This window comes from Homo sapiens, chromosome 14 (assembly GCF_000001405.40).
Source record: "Homo sapiens chromosome 14, GRCh38.p14 Primary Assembly".
NCBI classification, from domain to species: domain Eukaryota; kingdom Metazoa; phylum Chordata; class Mammalia; order Primates; family Hominidae; genus Homo; species Homo sapiens.
The window spans coordinates 83,011,756-83,039,755 of NC_000014.9; the positions used below are offsets into that span (position 1 = coordinate 83,011,756).

The 28,000-nt window shown below is 33.8% G+C and overlaps 1 long non-coding RNA gene across 2 annotated transcripts; it reads right to left on the bottom strand.

The window, feature by feature from the left end:
* Positions 1-364: 364 nt before the first annotated feature.
* Positions 365-27,890, bottom strand: LOC105370600 (uncharacterized). Of its 2 annotated transcripts, XR_944089.3 has the most exons (4): positions 27,752-27,890; positions 26,999-27,102; positions 5,740-6,797; positions 365-648 (listed from the first exon to the last, which is right to left on the bottom strand). It is a non-coding gene; the product is annotated as an uncharacterized LOC105370600 (long non-coding RNA). The 2 variants fall into 2 exon arrangements; XR_002957602.2 differs by lacking the exon at positions 26,999-27,102 and having other exon boundaries at positions 451-648; positions 27,752-27,888.
* Positions 27,891-28,000: the final 110 nt, after the last annotated feature.

Consider the following 28,000-nt stretch of genomic DNA (forward strand, 5'->3'; position numbering starts at 1 on the left):
TATACTCCTTGTATGTATGAGCCACCAGTACTATAAGTATGTGTTAAGTCTGTTTTCCCTGGAAATTTCTGATTGTAAATATGTGGACCAAATAGCAGATCTAGATGGATAACTCATAAAATGCCAGAGAAGTGTTTAGGTTGGAGACAGGAAGTTATGTGATAATTGTGGGAGGAGATTATAATTTAAAAGATGTATTGCTTATACTACACCAATAATTTAGTAGTCTTAAAGAAGCAGAATATAAATTAAATAGAATATCATAGAGAGAACTATACAAAGCTAGGCAGAGCTGCAGGTGACAGCAAAGAGATACACACGCCCACACATCTATAAGTGAGCAAAATCACATTTCATTCTGTTTCCTATTTTAACTCCCTTTATTCCTGCTCATTTTGCTCACTGATTTAAAAAATGAAATACAAATGATATTCCAATTCCTGAGTGCAATTGTGTTAAAAAAATTCTGAAAAATATTAAAAGGAAAACACCTAACTCTTGAAAAAGTACATCAAGGCATGAGTTTGTCGTCCTCACTATCGTCATCATTATCATCATTGCTGTCATCATCATGACCAATCATCATCAGTCATCTTGCTCAATGAGTATGCATTTGGCTACATGACAAATGTCAGATGCTTCAGGTTGCTAAATGGGAATAAAAATGCAGTAAGGTAAAGGGATTACAGAAGCATTTTTTTCTTGAATTAATTTTATCTAATATTAATCTAAAATAATATATTCTAATGGACATCAATGACTTAGGTTTTGTCAGACATTAAGAAGGCATAATTTACAGACTTTTCTTTGTCATTGTCTTTTGTAAGAGTCACACCCATAAACATAATAACTTCACAACTGTTATATGCAAGATGTTTCTCCCTCTCTACTAGTCAAATATACACAAACTAAACAACATTGGAATTTATTTTAGGCTGACGGGCATCAAGTTGACAGCGGTGTTGGAAAGACTTGATGGAACATACATTTTCATTTACTACTGGTAGGAGTAAAAATGTCTACCTTTTCTGAGTAGTAATCTGAAATTATTTATCAATGTTACAATGGACATACTCGTTGATCTAGCAATTCCACTTCTAGAAAAAGATAAAAGCATAATGGGTACAAGCAAGAAATTTATTGCATCATTTTTTGTGACTGGAAAACAAAAGGAAGGAAAAGCAGTCTCCATGTTACCAAATCCAATGAATATCATTATGCGCTCATCATACTTGACTCCTCAGAGGTGTTCAACACTGTTGTCATCAAAATGGTTACTTTAATTGTGTTATCCCACCACCCTCTTTGGCTACTCTTTCTGTCTCCTTTGTGGGTAATCTTTATCCAGTTGAGAGGCTCTGGAGCCAGACTATCTGCTCTTCCACTTTCTAGACACATGATCTTCAGCAAAACACTCATGCCCCTCTGAGGCATAATTTCTACATTGCAAAAAGTGTATAGAAGTGCCTGGCTTCATAAATATAAGCTATATTATCAGTATTTCAAATATTAAGGTGTATGAACTTTCTAAGAAAATTTTAGGCCTTTTTCTCTTTGTATACTTTACCTCCTGTAAAATCTCATCATATTTATGAATTCGGGTTTTGCATACTTGAACTATTTCTATCTCTAGGCGAGTTATAGAAGGGACTCGAGGGGAGGTAATTGAGTCATGGAGGTAGATCTTTCCCGTGCTGTTTCCAAGATAGTGAGTAAGTCTCAGGAGACCTGATGGTTTTATAAGGGGGAATTTCCCTGCACAAGCTCTCTCTTTGCCTGCTGCTATCCATGTAAAATGTGACTTGCTCCTCCTTGCCTTCCACTATGATTGTGAGACCTCTCCAGCCACAGGTATGTCTTTATCAGCAGAATGAAAAGAAACTAATGTACTCACATATCCAACCTCCTACTTAATGTTTCCACTTGCTTGTTGGGATGATACTTCAAGGGCTACCTATCCAATCTGAACAAAATCTACTCTCTGTCCTCAGCCAGCCCTTCCCATATATGATTCTTTTCTAGGTTGATCTATCACAGTGCATATGATCACCATTTGTGTGAGAGACACTTGAATTCACTACATGCAACAGTGCAAAAGGGCTAAGCACTTGGATTAGATTTGAAATCCATACATGGAATTGATGGCATCCTCAGAGAGAGTAAGTTGAAAATAATTCAAGGTGAAACTATTTACAATGAAATGGCCATAGACTGGGATAATGCAATTCCGAGACCTAGTATATCACCCCTAGGCCTAAAGGGGGTAATAGAAAAGAGCATGTGCCAGATCCAGAAGAAGGGAAGGGGAGAGGGCCACCAATAGGCATTATGACGTTTGGTTAAGTGATGCAGTCAGTCGGTTCACAATCACCTATGGGGAGAAAATTGAGTAAAATGCAAATAAGAATAATGAATATGAATGAAATATAATGAATATAATGAAAATGAATTATAAAAGGAAAAAAATGAATGCTCTGGCCTCACTCTCTTCCCTCCCTGCAGTCCCCTACCAGTGCTTCTCATTGGTTAAATTCAAATCAAAACAAGAGGGCAGGATAATTTATTTCTGTAGTCTCTACAGAACAACCTCCAGGGGAGCAGGAAGGGAGAGAGAGGGTGGAAATTGATATAGAAAAAAGTATATGTTTTTAGCACAATCCTCATGTCCCTATTACCGAACACACTTCCAAAAACATTTTCAGTTGAATGAGTAAAAGAAGTAGCACATTCCTTATGGACACTAATTTTCTTTTTTAAAATCTCCATTACTGCATCTTTTACTCTTTGTTCAAGATACTATCTGCTTTGTCCTTGATTATTTCAAATGCTTCCTAACAGATCTTTCTGCTGTTCCTGCATGTACTCGGGAATTCTTTCTTTCTGCACTCTGTCTCTGTCTCTGTCTCTCTCTCTCTCTCTCTCCTCTTCCCCAGGGAGTGACATTTTCAAAATGCAAATCAAATTTTGATACCTCTTTGTCTAATATTTTCCATTGCTTTTAGTTTTCTATTACTGCAGGCGATTACCAAAAACTTTATGACTTAAAATGACACCAATTTATTATCTTAGAGTTTTATAGGTCAGTAGTCCAAGTAAACTCAACTGAGTTTTCTGCTCAATATCTCAGGAGGCCAAAACAAAGGAGTCTTCCAGCTAAAATCTTATCTGGAGACTCTGGGAAAGAATTCATTTCCAGGCTCATTTCTGTTTGGGGCAGAATTTCATTTCATCAGGTTTAGGACTAAAGTCCCTGCTGCTTTGCTGGCTGTCAGCCAGGGGTTGCTTTTAGCTTCCAGAGACCACCTAGACTCTAGGATGAGGACCCTTTCACCTTTGAAAGAAGGAATGATGCATTGAGTCACTCTCATGCTGCAAATCTCTCTTTTTTTTCTACTACCAGCTAGAAAAAACTCTAAAAGCCCTAATGTGATTAAGTTTGGTTCACCTTTTTGCCAAGTTAAGTAACATAATTCTGGGGAAGTGATATCTCATCATGTTTAGAGGCTCCTCAGACACTCAAGTGAGAGGGAGTTAACAACAGAGAGGGTCATTGGGTGTCATTCCTAGGATTCATTTACAACATTGTTCTCATGATAAAGACCAAAGTTCTTATCTCCTTGTTGATCTTCCCTTTTCCATCTCTCCAGCCTCATTTCATGTCATATTTCCCATTTTTTATGTGTATTTGACACACATGCCGGCTTTCTCAGGGCAACTGCTGGCTCTTAGCCTCTCAAATATTAATTCCATGGGACAGCAATTGCTAATATCTCCCTATTGCTCAAACTTCCTCACCTCCAAACTCCTCAGAGTACAGTCAATAATGCTGAAATATATGTATCTGGTGTTTGTACAGAGAAAGTGGTTTAGAATAATATGTTCAAAAATGCTAGAGATTATCTGTGTAGTGGGTTTGTTCACAATGTATAATTGGAGTTCCAAGCTTCCCATATGTCTGATATGTGTTATAAGTATAAATTACCTTTATCATCAGTTAAAACTCATTTTATTTTAAAGTTTATAACAATAATGGAAAATACAACAAATGTTTCAAATATATTGTCTACACCTGAATCAGCAGTAATTAGATATATACTATGACATTATTATTATTTATATTTCTCAACTATTATAAAGTTCAATGATACGCACAGAGTAGAAGTTAATAAGTTAATGTTGATAAGCCATACAAATTCCAGTCACTCTAAGTAAATGGTAGAAATGTTTTTCCTTCATTATGTTAACTACAAAATCATCCCTTTATAATTTCTTCTGACCTAAATTTTAAACTTAAATATTAACTTAAATCAGTTAAGTTCATGGTATCTTAAAACTCATTACAAATGTAAACATATATTTGAAATTTCAGTGAGGTCTATTTCATGGTTTTATGTACCTATGTGGAGCTTACTATAGATGATGACATAAATATTAACTGACATAGAACATTTAAAATTAAATAAAACCTGTAGATATTCTGTCATATCACATTATTCAACAAAGTTTTCTGGTTGCGGTGAAAAGGGAACACTTTTACACTGCTGGTTAGAATGTAAACTAGTGCAATCACTATGGAAAACAGTGTGGAGATTCCTTAAAGAACTAAAAGTAGAACTACCATTTGATCCAGCAATCCTACTATTGTGTGCCTACCCAGAGGAAAAGAATTCATTATACAAAAAAAGATACTTGCACAAATGATTATAGCAGCACAATTCACAGTTGCAAAAATATGGAATCAGCCCAAAAGCCCATCAATCAATGAGTGGATAATGAAATAGTGATATATATATATATATATATATATATATATATGTATATATATATATGTATATATATATAATTTCATGTGCATATATAATTATCATATATATATATGAAATTATGGCATTCACAGCAACCTGAATGGAATTGGAGACCATTATTTTAAGTAAAGTAACCCAGAAATGGAAAACCAAATATCATATGTTCTCACTCATAAGTGGGAGCTAAGCAATGAGGATGCAAAAGCATAAAAATGATACAATGGACTTTGGGAACTTGGGGGAAATGTTGGGAGGGGTGTGAGGGGTAAAAGACTACAAATTAGGTACAGTGAACACTTCTCGGGTGATGGGTGCACCAAAATCTCACAAATCACCACTGAAGAACTTACTCATGAACCAAACACCACCTGTTTCCCCAAAACCTAAGGAAATTTTTAAAAATCATAAAAAATTCCTCTTATGTTACTGCATAATTAATACATAGACAACTTTTTCCTTTGAAGAATTATATAATAAACAGAAGACCTTTCTCACAGCATGAGAAAAAGAAATGAGGGGCAGGAGGAAAAAGCAACAATTTTAGTTTCTCATTTCTTTATTAGACACATTACATATCCATAATAGAAAACTGCAGCACAAGCAAAATGTATCTCAACTGCTGGATCTAATGTGAAAGAACTAAGAGGGAAAACAAATGAAATTTTAAATACTCAGTAAAATGTGATGGATTCCTGACATACGTGACATGTGCTTATTTATAAATCAGAATGAAGTTTGAATAATATTTTCTTTGAAAGGACAACGAATTGTTACTACTTTGTATTTTGACCCTAAATAACACCCCACCCCCACCTCTTTCTCTCTCACTCTCTCTCTCTCAAACACACACATACGTGCACACACACACACGTGCACACACACACACACTCTAGAGGTGAAGTGGGGAGAAAAGAAAGAAAACAGGATAACTCACCTTAATGTCCTGTTCTCAGATTTCAAATTAAGGAAACATTTATCAAGTGCCTCCAATGTACTAGAAATTGAGCTAGTCTCTGGATATGTCATAGTGATCGCAATGCCCATAGAGGTTATAGACTAGTGCTCAGCACTTGCATGTACATAAGTCATGTTTAATCATCATGCCAACACGATCAAGTAAGTTTTCTTCCTATTCCATAGATGAATAACTAGTCAAAGTCACTTTAGCAATTAAGTGTCAGTGGTTTTCCAATTCAAATCCTCCTAAAGATACATGTTTTGAAGTTCACTTTTCTCCTGTTGATTTATTTATCATCTCAGACATGACTAACTTAAACAACATTGTTTTAAAGTTTGAAGTTTGTTCTGCTGGTTCATTCTTTTAATATGTTGTAGAGAAAATCTTTTTACTCAAAAGTCTATAGTATGGCATTTGCTTTTATTCATTCATTTGTTTATTCTTCTTTTATGAGGCACTTATCTGGGGCAGGCTTCATATCAAGCCTAAAGGAATTAATAAGATAAGTTGCTAAAGTTTAGAAGATTACCGTGCAGAACGTGGGAAGTGAAATATACATAACCCAGATGTCAATCGTTTCTAAAGTCTGAACCAAAGTAAGATCCATTTAAACTTTATGGTGGAACATTGCTAGTTTTTTTGTTTTTTGATTTTGTTTGTTTTCTTGCTTTTTTTTTCTTTTGTTTTCGTTTTGGCCATAAAGTATTATAACGCCTCTTTTGTACATAATATCCCAATTTCTTCTCAAGATTCATCATCTTTTCTCAGTTGTTTTAATGTCAAATGACTGTGTCTCTAGCTTTTATTGTGAGCATACAGCTCTCAGGTCAGGCCTATCAAAACATCCTCTTCATGTACACATCTTCTTGTCCAGACATAATAAGCATGCAATTCAATAAAAACCAAAGCACTTCAGTGAGACTTCTCTGGACCTGCTGCAACAGAATGGGTAAGCTTCTCTGCTCATACTGTACGTGAGAAATGCAACACAGCCTATGCCCAGACATTTTGCAACGTTGAGGATAGAGCAAATTCTGGAGAAATGGAAAGAGAGAAATAAGGTTCATATTTTAGTCATGTTAAGTTCAGAACTACACATGATTCTTTAATTATCACTTTATGCCAGACTTTGCCACCCTCCCTCCTCTAATATAATTTTATGTTAGCCCTTTTCCTCATCAAACAACTTATACAAGCTTTATGTATTGGCCTTTTAATGGAGTGTGAGTCTAAAATTGAGAAGGGATATATTATGGCACCATATACCATTTAATTTAAAACTGTACAGTAAACCTCATTGTTTTGTGTGTTTGTGGGCTTTTTAATTTTTATGTCCTGCATGGCCTACTACCATGTATTTTCTTCTTCACTAAGTCATCTGTGCTTTCTCCTACCCACATTTTAATGCAGAGGAAGTTACCAGATAATTAAAGGGTGTTGGGTAAAATGTGAATTCAAATAAATAACAGATAACTTTGTAGTTAAAGCATGTCCAAGTTATTACATGGGACATGCTTGTGTGAATAATATTTATTTACTTGAAATTCTAATGAATTGAGAATCCTCTATTTTTATCTGTTAAGTACAACAACCCTAATACTAGAGCCATTTGCTGTCTCCACCCAACCCTTGCCCCGAGGATCTCAATTACCAAGTAGTTGTTTAAAATGTTTCTCTTCTTATATTATCAGAGAAATATGTATTCAAATTTCTCATTTAATTATAGAAGTAGTTATTATAATTTATGCATATTAATTTAATGTTTTATTTCCTTCTATATCTTGGCACAAAAGAGCACATTATAAATTAGTAAAGTAGATGAAGTCTACATGTAAGTTCTCTTTTCTATTTCTCCATCCTTTGGGGCTCCTTACCCTTTTCTGCACTCCCTTTTGTTCTCCACACTCTCTAACCCTCCTAAATACAGCACACACATTCATTCTTCATTCAGCCAGCTTGTCCAGTGTTTTTCCAACTGCTCCTTTTTTGATTATTTAAAAAAAAACCCCACAAAACCTAAGAAAGTCACAACGAAAAAAGAGAACTACAGGCCAACATCCCTGAAGAACATAGATGCAACAATTTTTAACCAAATACTATTGAACCAAATCAAGCAGCATATCAACAAGTTAATTTAGCACAATCAAATAGGCTTCATTCCTGGGAGGCAAGTTTGGTTCAACATACACAAATCAATAAATATGATTCACCACATGAGCAGATTTAAAAACAAAAAACATATGATCATCTCAATATACAAAGAAAAAGCTTTTGATCAAATTTATTCATGATAAAAATCCTCAAGAAACTAGGCACCAAAGGGACATACCTCAAAATAATAAGAGCCATTTATACAAACTCACAGCCAATTTCATACCAAATGACAAAAGCTAGAAGAATTCCCCTTGAGAAATGGAACAAAACAAGCATGCCCACTCTCACTTCTCCTATTCAGCATAGTACTGAAAGTCCTAGCCACAGCAATCTGGCAAGAGAAATAAATAAAAGGCATTCAAATAGGAAAAATAAACATAAATAAAAAAGTCACTCTCTTCACTATCAGAGTCTAGACCTAGAAAATCCTACAGACTCCACCAAAAGGCTCCTGGAACTGATAAACGACTTCAGTAAAGTGTCAGGACACAAAATCAAGGTACAGAAATCAGTGTCATTTCTATACACCAATAACATTCAAGCTGAGAGCGAAACCAAGAATGCAATCCCATTTACAATAGACACACACACACACACACACACACACACACACCTACGAATACAGCTAATGAAGGAAGTGAAAGATTTCTACAGGAAGAACTACAAAACACTGCTGAAAGAAATAATATATGACACAAACAGATGAAAAACATTACATGCTCATGGACTGGAGGAATCAATATCATTAAAATGACCATGCTACTCAAAGCTATCTATAGATTCAATAAAATTTCTGTCAAAATATCAATGTCATTTTTTTCACAGAATTAGAAAAACTATTTTAAAATTCACATGGAACCAATGAAGAGCCTGAGTAGGCAAAACAATCCTAAGCAAAAACAAAGCCAGAGGCATCATGTTACCTGACTTCAAACCATACCATATGGCTACAATAACCAAAACAGGATGGTACTGATACAAATACAGACAAATAGACTAATGAAACAGGTTAGAGAACATAGAAATAAAGCTGTGCACCTATAGCCATTTGATCTTTGACAAAGTCAACAAAAATAAACTATAAAGAAAGGATTCCCTATTCAATAAATTGTGCTGGGAGAGCTGACCAACCACATACAAAACAATGAAATTGTATGCCTACCTTTGACCACATACAAAAATTAACTAAAGAGGGATTAGAGATTTAATCAAATCATAAATATCCTTGAACAAAACATAGGAAACACCATTCTAGATATCTGCCTTGGGAAAAAAATTAATGACTGTCTTCAAAAGCAATTGCAACAAAAACAAAAACTGACAACTAGGACTCAAACTAAAGAGATTCTGCACAGCAAAAGAAACTCTCAACAGAGTAAACATACAACCTGCAGAATGACAGAAAATATATTCAAACTATGCATCCAACAAAGGTCTAATATCCAGAATCTATAAGAAACTTTAATTTAACAAGCAAAGACATTTCTCAAAAGAAGACATACAAGCAGCCAACAAACATATGAAAAGCAATGCTCAACATCATTAACCATCAGAGAAATGCAAATTAAAATTGCAATGCGATATCATCACACACCAGTCAGAATGGCTAGTACTAAAAAGTGAAAAAGCAATAGATGCTGGCAAGGCTGTGGAGAAAAGGAAATGCTTATACACTGTTGGTGGAAATGTAAATTACTTCAGCTACTGTAGAGAGCATTTTGGAGATTTCTCAAAGAACGTAAAACAGATCTACCATTCATCCCAGCAATCCCATTCATGGGGTTATATCAAAAGATAATATATCATGCTACCAAAAAGACACATGCATTCATATGCTCAACACTGCTCTCTTCACAATAATAAAGCCATAGAATCAATCTAGGTGCCCATCAATGGTGGATTGGATAAGAAAATGTGGTACTTATACACCATGAAATACAACGCAGCTGTAAAAAAAAGAATGAAATCACATCCTTTGCAGCAACAATGGATGCAGCTGGGGGCCATTATCCTAAGCAAGTTAATGCAGGAGAGCAGAAAACTAAATACCACATGTTCTCACTTATAAGTGGGAGGTAAACATTGGGTCTTTATAAAGATAGCAACAATAGATACTGAGGACTTCTAGAGGGGGATGGGAGGGAGGAAAGGGTTAAAAAATTTATTGGGTACTATGCTCAGTACCTCAGTAGCAGGATCAGGCATATCCCAAACCTCAGCATTTTACAATGCACCCATGTAACAAAACTGCACACGTACCCCCTGCTAAATATAAAACAAAAATTGAAATTATTAAGAAAAAAAAAACATCTCTTCTTAGGAACAAGATTTTTTTCTACTAATTTCAATCTATATAGGATTCTACTGTTTCGATTCTTGGATCTGAAATTTCTCCAAAAATTATTTTTATCTTGTTATATGAATAGTGTTTTCTCAAACCTGTGGAATTCATCTGCCATTTTTAATTGGTCCCTAAGTTTGAGATTTTTCTTTCTGTCTAGTTTAGATTGAAGGTAGAGATACAAAAGGTTTTAATTATCTTTGCCTATTCCAAGCAAAGAATTTGCCAGCCTCCTTATTTCAACATCTCACATATAGAAAATCTACTTAACTTATACACCTTTTATCACCACTTGTAAATCTAATCCTTCCCAGCAGTCAGTTAAAAAAAAATAGGCAAACAAAAACTTTCTGATCCATCATCTCTCATATATTTCATTTTTTTGTTTGTTTTTTTAATTCTGCATGTTAAGTTGTTAGTCCAGAGGTAGATATTTTGCATATTTCATCTTCATACTGACTAGGGTGCTCTATAAGATATTAATGAAGGTTTTCAGAAAATTATTATTGCAATCTCACACACCATGCAATTTAGGAGATGAATTTCACTTAGATATTGTGGCTTTCATGACTCACACTTCTCTAATGCCATTCTTTTGATGTGCTTGTAGCAATACACAAGTTTCTTAAGAGCTAAACATTACTACGAGCTAGGCAGGAGAAAAGCATTAAAGATCAATATCTGTCTTAAAGAAAGAGTTTAGAATCTTCAAGTGAGACACCCATTCACAAGTCTTTATATGATTATACATTTTAGGTGAATAGATGTGCCTAGAGAATGTTTGACAATTGCAAAGTCTTAACTAACTCATCGTTTTCTGTAGACTGTTTCCCATACGTATTTCTTTAATATTTCCCCCCTTAAATCTCCAGGCTGTTTTGTTAAGTTTGTTCTAAGGCTTTTATATTTTGTTCATTTCTGTTGACTCAATAATAAACGTTCACTGAGTGTGCAGAATGTAGTAATCCTCTCTCTGAGACTTTGTGGAGGAAGATTTTTCCTGTCAAAAATAAAGGCAGTTTGTTCTGAAAATAAATTACTATTATGTCTGCCAACTTTGGGTGGTCTGCTGTTATTAAAGACCAGATTATGAGGATTCATTTTAGATGCTTCGAGAGCTCACAAGTGGACGTCTCTGGGGCTTGTGAGCACAAGGAGGAGTTTGTTGTGTCTAGGGGACCAGAGCCCTGAATCTGGGAGGTAGCTTTGATTGACAGGTTTATTTTTTTATAATTCTGTGGGAAAAAACAAAATCCTGGTTTCAGCATGGTTTCTGTTGTTACGTTTGTTTCTTTTATAAAGTATTTTGACACCAGGTAAAACTGACACATTAAATATCAATACAATCATTTGAGATTTACTTCTATAAAAACCTTCTAGATCATTCTGATGTAGGCAAGACTATCAATTATGTAGCATTTAGAACCTCCTTTCTTTCCCACCTCTGCCAGTTCAACATTATTCCCTGCAGTGGACTGAAAGTTTGTGTTTCCTCAAATTCATATGTTGAAGTGCTAATCCCCAATGTGACAGTGTTTTGAGGTGGGTCTTTAAGAAAGTAATTACGTCATGATGGTAGATCCTTACGAATGGGATTAATACCCTTTAAAGAAAGACGTAAGAGAGATAATTTTGCCACCATGTAAGGATACAACAAGTTTTTCCTCTGCAAACCAGAAAGACTGCCCTCCCCAGAAACTGAATTATCTGGCACCTTGATTTTGTACTTTGCAGCCTTCAGAACTGTAGTGAATAAATGTTTGTTGTTTAATTCTACAGTATTTTGTGTTGTAACTGCCAAAACTAACTAAGACATCTCCCAATTTTAGAAGCCCATAGATTATTTTAGATTCTCCCTTTGACCAAAAACTCCTCTTTGAACAGCATGCTAGGAACATTTAGCTTAATAATACCATAGACATTTATTGAAAACCTACTATGTGAGAGTGGTGCCGGGAAATATCTCTTGTATTTGAATACAACATGGCTTAAATTACAACATTTTTGTAATAATTTGCACTTAAATAGGGCCATAGACCAAATTTTACTGAAGTCCAAGTGATGATATTTAAATTGCTGCATTTTAGGAACTCACATGCCATTTAAAAAAATGTTTTGTGTAACAAGGACTGCTATGGCTATTGATTCAGAAATCGTATGAATTGTGAGGCAGAGGAGTTTGAAAACCAATCTACAAATGCACCAATACAGCATTAAGATAAATCCTGCAAGATCAACCCAGGGAAGTCTCAACACTCATATTAAAACCCAGATGAAGAGGTACGAGGTTTTTCTACATTCTCTTTTGCCCATCCATTCTCATAGAAATGTCTGTATTTTGATCATATTATCCTACCATTCTTCTCTCCATGATTTAAGTTCTAACCAGATCATCTCTCTGTCATTGAGAGATACTGGATAAAGAATAACACACCTTAAATTTCATTTGAACCCTTACTAAAATAAAAATTCTATGGAATTTTTTTATCTTCCAATTTTTTAATATTCTCAACAAATACAAATTGACTTTATACTATTTGCCATGTATCAGGCACTATTCTATGCCCTCAGTACATAAAGAAAAAAGACATAGCTCATGCTTTTTGGCACAAACTTTCTACAGAAGTCAGAAAATGAAGTATTCAAACATTGTGAATTTTGCAATATAAAAGATACTTTGAGAAAAAGAGATCATGTTGATGATGTTATTTACTAGACACATATTTATTAAGTGTATATTACCCCAGACATGGTTCCATACTAAAAGGATAAGAATTGCATCTTTGAATCTTTCACGTCTAGTATACATACTTTAACTTACTAGGCATTTAATGAATATCTTAGGAAATAAATTTTATTCAGTTTGAAAAAAAGGAAAAAAAAACTTATTTTGCTTTGTTGGTTGAGAGATTACTTCCTTCAACAAATACTGAGTAGTTTCCATTCATTTATTGAGTCATTCATTTAGTAAATATTAATCACTTAATATTAACAGAAAAAGAAGTGGTTAACTATTTCAAGTTCTACTGAGAGAGCTGAAGATTGAAATATGTCTATTTTATGTAACACTTTAGAGGCTACTGATAATCTTACAGAAAGGAAATAATTTGTCCTGTGGAGATTGGAACCACATTGGAATTACATGTTTTGAAGACCAATGAGATATCATTACACATCTATCAGATTGGAAAAAAATGTTAAGAAAAGAAAATCCAACTATTGATGAAGATGTAGACACACTGGAATTTTCCTACACTGATATCAGGAGTATAAATTGGACCAACGATTAATGAGAAATTGTATACTATCTAATCGGGTTAATGCTACGCATATTTTAAGTTCAAATATTCTACTTCAGAATAAAAATTTCAGAAAACTCTTAAACGTGTACACAAGGAGACATACAAACAAATTAATTGAAGAAATTTTAGTATACATATATTAAGAAAAATACATCTTAAAACATGCTAATCACTATAAAAGGCAAGATGCAGAGTTTTATTTTTACACGAAGTTTTAAAAATACACAAAATAGATTCACATATAGTGAAAGCTTAAAAAGATGTATAAATATAGTAATATTAAGAGAGGGAATAAAGAGGATATCTGAGAGGGGAACCAAAGGAGCAAAAGATTTTACTATCTGCAATGTTTTATTTCAAAAGAAAGAACGAAAAAAAGAAGAACGGAAAGAAGGAAGGAAGGCAGGCAGGCAGGCAGGCAGGCAGGCAGGGAGGGGAGGGAAGGAGGGAGGGAAGGAGGGAGGGAAGGAGGGAGGGAAGGAAGGGAAAGAAAGAGAGAAAGAGAGAGAAAGAGAAGAAAGAAAGAAGAAAGAAAAAGAAAGAAAGAAAGAGAGAGAAAGAAAGGAAGAAAGAGAAAGAAAGAAGAGAAAAAAAGGAAGAAAGAAAGACAAGGAAGAGAGAGGAAAGGAGCAAGAAAGAGGAAGAGAGAAAGAAATGGAGGAAGAATGAAAAAATAAAAAAATGTTGAGCTGTTAAAACTAGATATTTGTGTACCTGAAGTTCTGTTTATTTTTAATATATAATTCTACTATGCTCTACTTTTATTGTATATTTGAAAATAATTCATTATGAAAGAAATATTAGGGTAAAAAAACTTGACACATGTGTAGGCAGGTCCTTTCAGCTTCCTTGAAGAGATTGGCCTGGTGCCAGAAAAGATGGTAGCATTAGAAGAGGAAGACTTTTGTATTGAATGGGGAGAATAAATGCTTTGTGGTGAGAAATCAGTACCTGAGAAAACAACCTTTCCCCAATTATGAGATACACAGAGTATGAGGCGGTGGGGGGAAAACAAAAAGCAGTCCCCGCCTGGGGAAGCAGCCGTGTTAGGGGATGGCTGTTTCAGGTACAGCAAAATTATAGAACAAATATTCAGAGAAGAGACCGTCAATATGGAGTGGGTCGTACGCAAGTGAATACAATTTCTTTTTTGAGGATCCATCCATTGAACGCACTCAAGGCAGAGGTGTTCACAAAACACAACATTTTTCCAGGACGAACTTTGAGAAAATAGTTGAGAGACTAGGAAGCAAAGCAAGGCAAAACAAAGCAAAGCAGCAAAAGACACATAGAGTCAGAAGTGCTTTCTTTTCTTACATAATCTTGAAGGTTAAAATTAACGTATAGAATATGAGTGTTCTTGGACAATTAATAGAAAATCACAGACAGTGGGATCAGTGCCCCACATCCGCAGCACATCTTTTATCACTGTTAGAAGGCCATTAGAAGTAAGCTACACCATTTTTGTCTTTGTTTCTCTTATCTTAAAAGGAAAACACACCAGGTAAAGCATATGCTAAAACAATCTCCATGAACGTGAAATACGTGTTAATTTTTTACATGACTACAAGTTGAACATAAACAATACATGTACGGATATTACACAAAATAAAATGGCTGATTGTATCATTAAAAGTAGCCTTTTTTTGATTAAACATTTTTGATAGCCTATGATATTTTGGCAGAGTTTTGATAAAACTTTTTTCATAATTCTTTATTTTCCTAAGCTTAATTTATCTTTATGAAAGTCTGCTCTCAAAATATTCATTAGCAGATAACAATGGAAATTTATAGGGCCACTGGCCTAGAAGATAAACCATATTATTTCATAACCTGCCTCATACTGGAATCATTCCACAACTTAAGTGGGAATTATAATAACAATAGTGGCTACAACTCATTGAGCACTATTCTAAGTGCATTTCACTTCTTAACTTATTGCATCCTTATACATTTCCCAGGTATATACAGTTGTTTCAATTCAAGGAAGAAATGAAAGAGGTGAGCACATTCCCAAGATGGCGTAGCTGTTGTGGCTCAGAGTAGGAATTAGAACCCATGTCTTTCTGATGCTAAGCCCTAACTTGCTATTGTACATCCTGTTTTAGTCAATGATGCAAGAGCAGAAAAGACAAGCTACCCTATGTTCTATTTAAAGAATTAGGTGACACTTAGAAAGTATTTTCACCGATCACTGTAGCAATTAGAGGCAAAATTATAGACACTGCTAGAAAATTGTGCTGATGGAAATGTGTGATGGCTCAGTGAGAAAAATGGCAATATAACATAATCTTAAATGGAAATTATATTCGTGTCTCAGCTTTCTTCTTTACAATTGATTTTGATATTGTTTTACAGGGAGACTTGCTCTGCAAATATCACAGCAATCATTGGCCAAAAGTAACACAATTCTGAGTGAATCCCTGGTAAAAGAATTATAATAGTCCCAATATTATGGGCATTTGTCAGGAGCATCATCCATAAAGACAATCCCCAAATGAACATAGTTAAGGCTTAGTTTTCTTGGACAATTAAAAACAGTAAAAAAGACAAACAAACTTGGAGACAATGGATTTTCTTTCCCATTGTCTCTATGAATATTAATCACCATTAAAAGTGACTCTTAGTTTCAAAATCTATACTTTGATAATGGATGCATAATAATGATATCACTAAAAGAAATCTTACTGCACACATACTTAGCTTCCCCTCAAGACTACTACAAAGTTTTCCTCAGGGCTTGATTTCTTCATTAAAATTGAGTATTATCTAATTTAAGCTATGCTGTTTATTGAGATCTTGGAAAGTAAAGTTGGTATGGAGAAGGTCTACAAGGTAAATAACAAAACGACAAAGTTTTGAAAACTCTGTACAGATCCATAACTTATACACAAACTACTCAGAATGTCAAATAATAATAATAATAACTCATTCAACAGTCAAAAAAATTATAGGTATACCCAGATATTTTACTGATTGAAACCTGGAAAAAGAAGCCAATTTTGTTCAAAGTAACAATGGCTGCAAAAATAAGATCAAGAGTTTGAGCTACTAATAATAAATCTCTCCTAAGTGGATTCCAGATGTCAGTCATTGTAACTAAGTCATGGCCAAAGGCAATTAATCTCTTAAAATGAGTGAGTAGTGAACAGTTCTTTGGACCTGAAAATAGACACATGATCTACACTTCGTAACAGCAGCAGCCGTCCACGTAGTCATAGTACTAGTAATAATAATGATAATACTGACATTCACCCACAAGGCGATGCTTTTAAGCAGAAAGCAAATGTGTCAGGTCCAAAAATATTATCTTTAATAACTATAATCTTCTGGGGTTAGACAAGAATACTCAAAATACGTGACTCTACAGCCTGGGGATTTACTATTGATTATGTTTTTTAATCTTCTGTGGCCCATTTTCTTTTTAGTACTCTATCTGTGCCTACACTTTAGGCCCCAGTGTGTTGTAAATGGTGTAAAGGGAAAGCTGTGTTTGATTAGGAAAAAATACAAACCATTTCTCTTATGATTTGTTAGCATTAATTTTCATTGCTTACTTGTGAGAATGACTCAGGTTTTGGTTTAATTATGTCTATTTTATGAGCTACTACAATAAGGGGACATGTTTTCTGCCTATATATATCTATATGAGCTAACTTTCTTACAAAATGTATTCTGAGATAATATTCTGATCTTGAACTAATATCTTGGTCCTTAAATTGGCTCAATGAGATAAGAATAAAGGGAAATAGAATGAAAAAAATACTACAAAAATTGTGTTTAAATAAAATATGTTTAATCTTGTTGCTAGTGCATCATCTTGACCGAGTTCACTTGCTGGTGGCGGGTGCTCAGAGTGTATCTGATGTCACTAACACCTTCCACTCCTATCACATGACCACTTTCCATACCACTACTGAAGTCTCTGCTTTCTGAAATACTTCTTTCAAGATCTCAGAAGTTTTTGCATATAATAAGCTCATGAATTTAATTAGTTTTTGTTTTAATATATAGGTAATTTAGGTTCTCTTTTTTAGCTTCAACATTAAACAATTCTGTAATCACAGGAAATATTTATATTGAAGCTACCATAGGACTACCTTGCATATGAACATTATACACTATATTATATATTATACAGTATATACACAGTATATATATTCAGTATATACACACAGTATATATAAATTATACAGTATATATATTCAGTACATATACACAGTATATATAAACTATACAGTATATATATTATCTATTTCCTACCTTGCATAGGAAAATTACACAGTATGTTTGAGGGTTGATGAAAATCTGACCTACAGATATGTACCAGTGATTTTGCGTGTATACCTCTCAGCATCTGTTAATGGATGGTGAAAAAAAAGTCAATGAAATAAAGAATAACGTCACAACTCAAATTTATTGAGAAATCTTACCTACTGATGAAATTGGAGACTTGTGCTTAGGAAGGAAAAACAATATTTTCCAGCCAAAGATAAACAATGGACATACGAATAGTAGAATTTGGGCAGAAAAATTTATAGGAATAAGGACTGGAGGTTGGGATGATTTATTTAAACCATCAAGAAAGAGTGGCTTCTGGATGCATGTGTTTAATAAAAATGTATCCTTATTGAGACCATTTCAAAAAGGAGTCATTGAGTTTCTTTGCCTGAGCCACAGTCGCTTCCTAATTTTAGAATTCATAGGCATTTTAAGAATTCATGATTGATATAAAAATGTATTTGGACTGGATCCTAAGAACCAAAAAGATGTTTCTACTAGCAAATTAAACCATTGTTTCTACAAAGAACCACAGAACAACTAAATGGTAACATGATTATTGAAAAACATGTTTATTTTAATGAGGTGAAATGGTACATGTGCTGGAGTCAAATTGGCTTGAAACTTAATTTTAACCTAGGTTAAAACTTAGTAAGTTTTAAGTTGATAGGTTAAAACTTAATTTTAACCTATCAACGGTAAGGGAATAGGTAGCATACTTTCATTTAAGCAGAGATAAACTGATCAATAATGCTGAAATTGTGACTAATAGTAGAACACATTGAAAAGTAACACTTATATCACTATTGCAGAGTAACACTTTTACAGAAACATGTTAATTCAACTTAATTATCAATAGCAAATTATGTAACTGTTGAATATCGCATTTTATTAAATTTCGTTTTATAAAGAGCAGAAGAAGATATTTCTTATTGAAGTTTTTATTTAAATGGCATTTATTTCTTAATACATTACAGGCAACTGAATTGCTTTTTGAAATAATATTAATAAAAATGCATAAATCATTTAATAATCATTTATTGTTCATTAATATTATTAAATAATCAACTGAATTTTAGAAGACTCAACAAATAAGTGTAAACATAAAATTCATAAGTGGTTGCCACAGGAAATGTTTACCTTATTTGTGTAATGTTATAATTGCTAAGAAGGACATGATGTGTATATTTGGAGTTATTATGTTAGTTAGGCAGTAAAACTGACACTATGTCAAAAGAATAGTATGATGTATAAGTGGTTCAGTATAAGACACAGCCAAAACCCTAGGATTTTCCCTAGAGGTATGTGATGTATGTATAGCAGATGAAAACGCACAATAATTATTAGCTGCACAAGTGTTCATTAGGAGATAATCAATTACCACAGTTAGGGTTTTACAGTCATTTGCATACTAGACCAGCAGTGGCATAAAGGTTACAAAGGAAGACACATATTAAGTTAAAGTCTGTGTTTCTCGTTAAACTTGATTGTTCCTAACTGGATGTTCTCTAGCATTGTATGCAGCATATTTTACATAACTCACACAATATGTTGTGCCACTTCTTAGTGATAGGAACATTGATGCAGATTTCAAGGATAGTAATACTTTCCTCTAGTAATCAGTCTAAAGAGTTTTAATCAATCCTGTAGTAATCAATCTAAAGAGTTTTAATCACTTTCCTCTAGTAATCAATCTAAAGAGTTTTAATATATTTAATCAATATATTCTGCAGTTAGAACCTGACGTGTTGGGATTAAGATAAAGTTCACCCTTTAGTTGTTGTGTTTTATAATCATATCTGCTTCTGTATATATTTTATCAGCAACAAATAATTTATTTTTGCTGTTCTGAAACAAGAGAAAACATTTATTCCACAGCCTTTGACCATATGTTTCACTTACCACATATATAATTCTCCCTCCATGATTCCAATGAAAAAGTTTTTACAGATGACACAGACAACATAATTAAATAGGTATAAATATAAAAGAAAAAAATGATAGCAGGGTAAACTTTATCTTATAGTTTATTTTAATCTAAAGCTGTTCAACTTGAAGAATAAAAGTGAGTATTTTTGAGGATAAAAGCGATTTTACTGGGTCAAAATAACATGCTGTAAGCCACTTTTAAAAGGAAATCATGCAATCTCATAGTTTCACAAATAGGAATGTTTAGCTTATTAGTTACTATTTATTTTTTAAAATAGTTTTTCAACTTTACACATTGTTGAAAATATAAGCCACACCAATTAATAGGAACATCACATTTAGTGATGTAAAAAACAATAGAAATAGACATAACAGCCTGCATTAACAATGGCACAAAATGCTTAAGCCTTAAGACTTAGTGTTATAACCAGAAAGAATATTTTTTACAAAGTTTTGCAGAGAGATGTCCATGCTGATAAAATAGGAAATCACTTTTAGTTCACACCCACTGTGGAAATTATCACAATGTTTACTCAAACAAAAGTAAAACCTCTTTTACTTCTTTTACATCTTCTTCATATATAATATATTTTTAAAATCTATTTAAAAATTGGAAGTTTGATCATCAACTTCAAGACAATAGGCTGAGCATGCATAATTAACTTTCCTTGCTCCCAACAGAAATCACAGTAAATATATGTTAAAGAGTGTATATCGAGTGTAATGTGCAGAAGGAAAGCAGAAACCACTAGCAGAAAAACGACAGCGTTTCAGTAATGATTAACTGAGCAGTGGAAATAACAGCCAAGAAAATTCTTAGAAAATTTCTTCACTGTCCAAAACAGTCCTGTTTATTAGGCTCCAAACTCATGTTAGCAAGTGTGGAATGTGTGTGTGTGTGTGTGTGTGTCTGCGTGTGTGTCTGTGTGTATGTATGTGTGTGTCTGGGTCTGCGTGAAAGACCACAATAAACTAATAGAATAATTAGCTACAGAAACCAAAGGTAATTGAACAACTGGAGGATATTTTTAAAAAATCTAATGAGTATCCTATGAGAGATTGAAGATGATAGTTTATTGAAGATGATAGTTTTCTTGTACTAAAATCAGTAGCATGCTGTGATGAAAGAGGATAAAAGAAAACGAGAGTAGGTTCTTAGGAATTAAAATATACGTTTGTTAAAAAAAGATACAAAATCCATTTTATGTAAAGATTAAAGAAGATAAGGTTTAGAAAATAGCTCAAATTATATTTTACCAATAAAAAGAATTTCCTCTTCCAAGCATGATGGAATAAGAGAGGCAGATTTACATTTATCCTGTAAACAAATGAAACATTGAACAAAATATATGAAGTAATTCTTTTCAGACATCGGGTTACATGTGTTACAGGACTGTGACTCTTGAAATAAGGATGTAAAATCAGGTGAGTCACAGGATCACCCCAACTATCAATGTGTAGATACATTTCAGATAGGGGTACCCATAGGGATCTTGCTGAGTTTTAAAGACAATGATCAGACCTCAGGAAGCCACGCAGAAATCTGTATAGGATTCACCTTGAGTTTTGCTGAATACTAAAACCTTCATGTGTAAGGCAAAAAGCCATGATATTGACCTAAGAAATGCCAGACTGCTGAGACTTCAATGATTCCCAGTTTATGCAGGTAATAAGGCATTTAAGTTCTGATCACGTGGAGAGTCTTCATCGATCACTCAGATAATTTAGTAGAGATCCTGGAAGGGCCAAATCCTACTGTGGCTTGCCTATCCCTGGGGTGAATATATAAGACCTGGCTATCAACACTCAAAATCATGCCTCAGAAGAACAAATTGAACCACAAGTAACTTCACATATTACCAGAAAAACAATGGCATTTTTTTATTTAGAAGGAGACAGAAAAATTTAATATACAATAGCATAAAATCCACAATGTCCAGGATTCATAAAACAAGGGAAAAATCAATCAATCAAAATAGTTTTGGGAATGATAAAGTAACGGAATAAGGATGCAAAGTGTTAAAACAACTGTTATTATTATAATCCCATATTTAAAAGAATATATGAACATATAAGAAGAGAAATGAAATACTTAAAACAACAAAAGAACTTCTAGAGATGTAAAATGCATTATCATTTAAAACTTAACTGGATGGAATTAGCAGATGATTAAGAAGCGCCAAAATCAGAAAACTTGAAGACATAGCAGCGAAAAGTAGCCAAAGGAAAGCATAAGGGAAATAAAAAGATTAAAAAACAAACAAAAAATCCAAACAATCAATGGGTAGTTGTGAGCCAGCAGGTTAACATATACCCACTATAATTTATGTATACTTGTATATACACACACATATATGTACTTTATGTATTTTGTATATATACACATATGTATTTGTATATACATACATATATATTTTGTACATATATATTTGTGTATATATATTTGTGCATATGTACAAAATATATACTTTTATACATATATAAGTATATATGTATGAAATATATACTTTATATATTTTGAAATATGTGTATTTTAAATATATATTCTGAAATTTATTTATCTTGAAATTTGATGGAAACACTAGACCCATAGCCCTAAGAAACTCCAAGTAGCCCAAGTAGACAAAAACAAATGAGCAAACAAACCAAAAAAACAAAAACCAAGGCAGTTTCTAATTAAAACCTTAGGAGCAAATAAAATTTAGTAAAAATAAAATGAAATCTTCAAAAGTCTCAATCCAAAAGAAGGCAGGAAAGAGGAACAAAATAAGTTAATAGATAGTAATAGCAAAATTATAGATTTAAAAGTATTAAATCTATTAATACTTTTAAAAATATATTCATAATTGCATTAGATTCAAATAATCTAACCATTCCAATTAAATGGAAAATATTTTTAGACTGAATAAAAACCCAAGGCCAAATTATATACTATACCTAAAGAACTCGATTAAATATGAAACATTAAGACTAAAAGAAGAGGAAAAGTATCCAATGTGTACACTGATAATAAGAAGGCTGGAGTTACTAAATTATCATTAGAAAAAACAGAATTTAAAAGAATGAATATTACCAGAAGTTATAAGGGACATTTCATAAAAATAAAATGGTAAATTCATCGAGAAGACAGACATAACCCTGAAAGTATATGTCTCTAGTGACAGGGCTTCAGAAAACGTATAGCAAAAACTGAAAAACTGCAAATAGAAATACATACACCCACTAATTATATTTGAGAACTTTCACACTTCTCTTTTATTATTTAATAGAACAAGTTGGCCTGAAAAAAATTAACAACTAGCTAAATAATTTGCAATTATAGACACATTCATACACAAGAAAAGTTCACATTCTTTTGAAGGGCACATGAAATATTCACCAAAATAGAACATATGCTGGGTTTTTGTATTAGAGTTCTTCAGAGAAATAGAAGTAATAGGTTCTCTCTGTGTGTGCATGTGTCTCTGTGTATGTGTGTATTTGTGTGTGGAGAGAAAGGGAGACATTTATTTTAAGAAATTGACTCATACAATATTGTGGAGGATAGCAAGTCCAAAATCTGCAGAATAGGTTCACATGCTGGGTATTCAGGGAAGAGCTACTGTTGCAGCTCCAGTAGTATAAAGACAGGCAGCTGGCAGAATTTCTTCTTCTTTAGGAGAGGCCAGTATATTTTTTTTTGCTTGAAGGCCTTCCGCTAATTGGATGGGTCTCGTTCACTTTATGGAGGGTAATCTGCATTACTGAAAGTGTGCTGATTTAAATGTTAATCACATCTAGAAAAAAAAAATACCTTCACAGAAACATAAAGGATAATGTTTGACCAAATATTTGGGTGTTATGGTCTAGCCACATTGACAGATAAAATTAAGCATCACAGCCATAAAACAAGTTAAATACATAAAAAATGATGGATATCTTACAGAGTATATTAGTATACTCTCTAAGCAGAATAGACATAAATTATAAATAAAGAAAAAATAATCTGAAAAACGCAAAATATTTAGAAATCAAATGACACATTTCTTAATAACTCATGGCTCAAAAAAAAGCAAAAAGAAAATTAGAAATTGTTTTGAAGTGAATAAAAATTAATACATAAAATGTAAAAATTTCTGTGGCACAGTTAAAACAGTGATTAGAAGAAAATATATAGCACTAAATATTTTTTTTAAATTTCTAAAAAAATTATCTAAGTGTACATCTAAAGAAAATAGACAAAGCTGGACAAATAAATATAATACAAGTAGAAAGAAAAGAATCATAAAGATTAGAGTGTAAATCAATAGAATAGGAAATAAACTAACTACAGAAAAATATCAGTGAAGCAAAAGATTTTTTTTAAATAAGCAAATAGCATTAGTACACCTCTAGCCATATGGGTTAAAAAAGAATACAAATTACCAATATTAGGCATGAGAAGAAGACACCATGATAGATTTCTAAGATATTAAAGGGTTATAGGGGACTATCATGAGCAACTGTATGCTAATAAAGTTAGATGAAATTTTCATATTTTATGACAACCATAAATTACCAAAAGTGACTCAAAAAGAAATGAAAAATTTGAATAGAGTTGTATCAAATGAAAAATGTGAATGTTTAATTTCAACATTCCCACAAAGATTTTAGGCCCAGATGACTTCACTCATTAATTCTTTCAGATTTATGGAAGAAATAATGCTAATCCTACATGGTATCTTTTTAAATATAGAAGAGGAGAGGTTTATCAACCTATTAATGAGTTTGAAATTGCCCTGATGCCAAAGCATGCTGCCTATCTCAGTAGTATATTTACAGGAAGCCAAATATTGTTGCTGTTCTAGAGCTTAGAAAGTAATTAGATCAAAATAATCTCAATAAATAGTATACTTAAAAACCTGTGAAAATATACGTGATTTTCTAATTAAATAAATTAAAAAAAAAAACCCTGAACTTACAAATCTAAAAAGCAATTAAAAAGGTAGTAATAGAAAGTAAAGTTAAAAAAGAAAATAGACTTGCATCCTCTGAAGCCACAGCCTGAGCTCTAGGTTGGCCCCTTTTAGCCATGGCTGGAGTGGCTGGGATGCAGGGCAACAAGTCCCTAGGCTGCACACAGCATAGGGACCCTGGGCCCCGTCCATGAAACCATTTTTTCCTAGGCCTCCAGGCCTGTGATGGGAGGGGCTGCTGTGAAGACCTCTGATATTTTTCTCAATGTTTTGGGGATTAACATTTGGCTCCTTGTTACTTGTGTAAATTTCTGCAGATGGTGGCTTGAATTTCTCCTCAGAAAATGGTTTTTTCTTTTCTATGACATTATCAGGCTGCAAATTTCCCAAACTTTTGTGCTCTGCTTCCCTCATAAAACTGAATACCTTTAACAGTACCCAAGTCACCTCTTGAATGCTTTGCTGCTTAGAAATTTCTTTCACCAGATACACTAAATCATCTCTCTCAAGTTCAAAGTTCCACACATCTCTAGGACAGGGCAACATGCAGCTAATCTCTTTACTAAAACATAACAAGAGTCACTTTTGCTTCAGTTCCCAAGCAAGTTCCTCATCTCCATCTGAGACCACCGCAGCCTGGATTTATTGTACATATTGCTATCAGGCTTTTGGTCAAAGCCATTCAAGAAGTCTCTAGGAAGTACCAAACTTTCCCACATTTTCTGTCTTCTTCTGAGCCCTCCAAACTGTTCCAACCTCTGCCTGTTACCCAGTTCTAAAGTTGCTTCCACATTTTCAGGTATCTTTCCAGCAATGCCCTACTGTACTGGTACCAATTTACTGCATTAGTCTGTTTTCATGCTGCTGATAAATACACATCCGAGACTGGGAAGAAAAAGAGGTTTTATTGGACTTACAGTTCCACATGGCTGGGAGGCCTCAGAATTACGGTGGGAGGTGAAAAGCACTTCGTACATGGTGGAAGCAAGAGAAAAATGAGAGAGATACAAAAGCAGAAACCCCTGATAAAACCATCAGATCTCGTGAGACTGATTCACTATGAGGACAGTATGGGTGAAACCATCATACTGTTCCCACCAGGTTCCTCCTCCCACAACATGTGGGAATTATGGGAGTACAATTTGAGATGACACTTGGGTGGGGACACAGCAAAACCATATCATGCCAGATACCCTAAATCATCTCTCTCAAGTTCAAAGTTCCACAGATCTCTAGGACAGGATAAAAAGGCCACCGATCTCCTTGCTAAATTATGGCAAGGATCACCTTTGCTCGAGTTCCCAGTAAGTTTCTCATCTCCATCTGAGACCTCCTCAGCCTGGAGTTCATTGTCCATATCACTGTTAGAATTTTGGTCAGAAGTATTCAACAAGTGTCTAGAAAGTTCCAAACTTTGCCACATCTTCTTGTCTTGTTTAAGCCCTCCAACCTCTTGCAATCCCTGCCCATTACTTAGTTCCAAAGTCACTTCCACTTATTCAGGTTACCTATAGATCAGCACCCCATTTGTGGTACCAATTTTCTCTATTAGTTTGCTTTCACTCTACTATAAAAATACTACCTGAGACTCGGTAATGTATAAGTAAGAGTTTAATTGACTCACAGTTCTACATGGCTGGGAGGCCACAGAAAACTTTTAACATGGCAGAAGGCAAAGGAGAAGCAAGCATGTTTTACATGGTGGCAGGAGAGAGAGAGTGAGAAAGTAGTGCCACACTTTAAAACCATCAGCTCTAGTTTTATAGTGACAACACATTCACTATTACAAGAACAGCAAGGAGGAAACAGCTCCCGTGATCCAATCACCTCCCACCAGGTCCCTCCCTTGACATGTGGAGATTTCAATTTGAGATGAGATTTGAGTGGGGCCACAGAGCCAAACCATGTAATATGTGTGTATATATACATATGTATATAAATATATATGTATATAAATATATATGTATATAAATATATGTGTATAAATATATATGTATATAAATATATGTGTATATATATTTATATACAGTTTATAAAAATAGTAAGATATTTTTAATTCTCATAAACCAATTTTTGTCCCCCTGGGGGAAATATTATTTCTATTGAAAGGCATGATTAATAATATGAGATGATTTTGAGTAATTTAAGCCTTTCCAAAAAACATAATCCATTCCAGTTAAAACTAGTCATTACATATATATATTATAAATATATAACATGTATATTTTATTAGACCATAAAAGAATGTTTGAATTATTTTTATTTTTCTAAGAAATAGTTTTTATGTAACTTACCTTTGTTTCTTGGTGAGGCCCACTGAGTCTTAGATATGAAGTGCGTGTGAAAACAAAAACATAAATGTGACTATAGCATTGTAGTGCTAACTTTTTCTTCTTACCTAGAGAAGAGTCAAGAGAGACTTTTGTACAATGTGCTTTTTGAAATTCAGTGTCTGATAATCTTGTAATGATAGAAAAAAATAAGTGAGCCTAAAATGACTGAAATTGAGAAATTTCGGCAGCTGATAACAAGGTCTTCAACATAAGTAATAGCCATCAAAATCAGTGGGGATCACAGGCCATGGCCCCCTATATCAAAATCATCTGGACTGACGATTAAAATTAAAGATGCTTAGAACTCTTTGCAGACCTAGTAAATCAGCCTCCTTTCAAAGCCGAATCTAGAAGTCTACATTAAAGCAACAACAATACTGTTTCTCCTGGAAACTACATTTACTCTAATCTTACGTACAAATGCTGAAATTAGTGTAAAAAATTCCCAGCCATATCTGGCTTAGAATTTACTAATTCTCTAATGAGGAATAAAAGAAAATTTCTATAAAACACTAAGATATAGTATCTATAATCTGTGTAGAGTATTTTGCTCAAATTCATGTTGAAGGAAGCTGCTTGACGTGCCATGGTGTGTTAGGTTCTTCTTGCATTGTTGGAGGCCAAGGCAGGGGGATTGCTTGGCACAGGAGTTTGAGAACAACCTGAGCAACATAGTGAGAACTCATCTCTACAAAAGACAAATTAAAAATTAACCTGGTATGGTGGTGCATGCTTGTGGTCTCAGTTACTCAGGAGGCTAAGGTAAGAGGATTGCTTGAGCCCAGAAGGTGGAGGTTGCAATGAGCTGAGATCATGCCAGTGCACTTCAGCCTGGACGACAGAGCAAGACCCTGTTTTTAAAAAAAGAAAGAAATACATGAGATTGTGTAATTTAAAATGCAAAGAGGTTTTAATTGGCTCATAGTTCTGCAGGCTCTACTAAAGCATGATGCTGGCATCTGT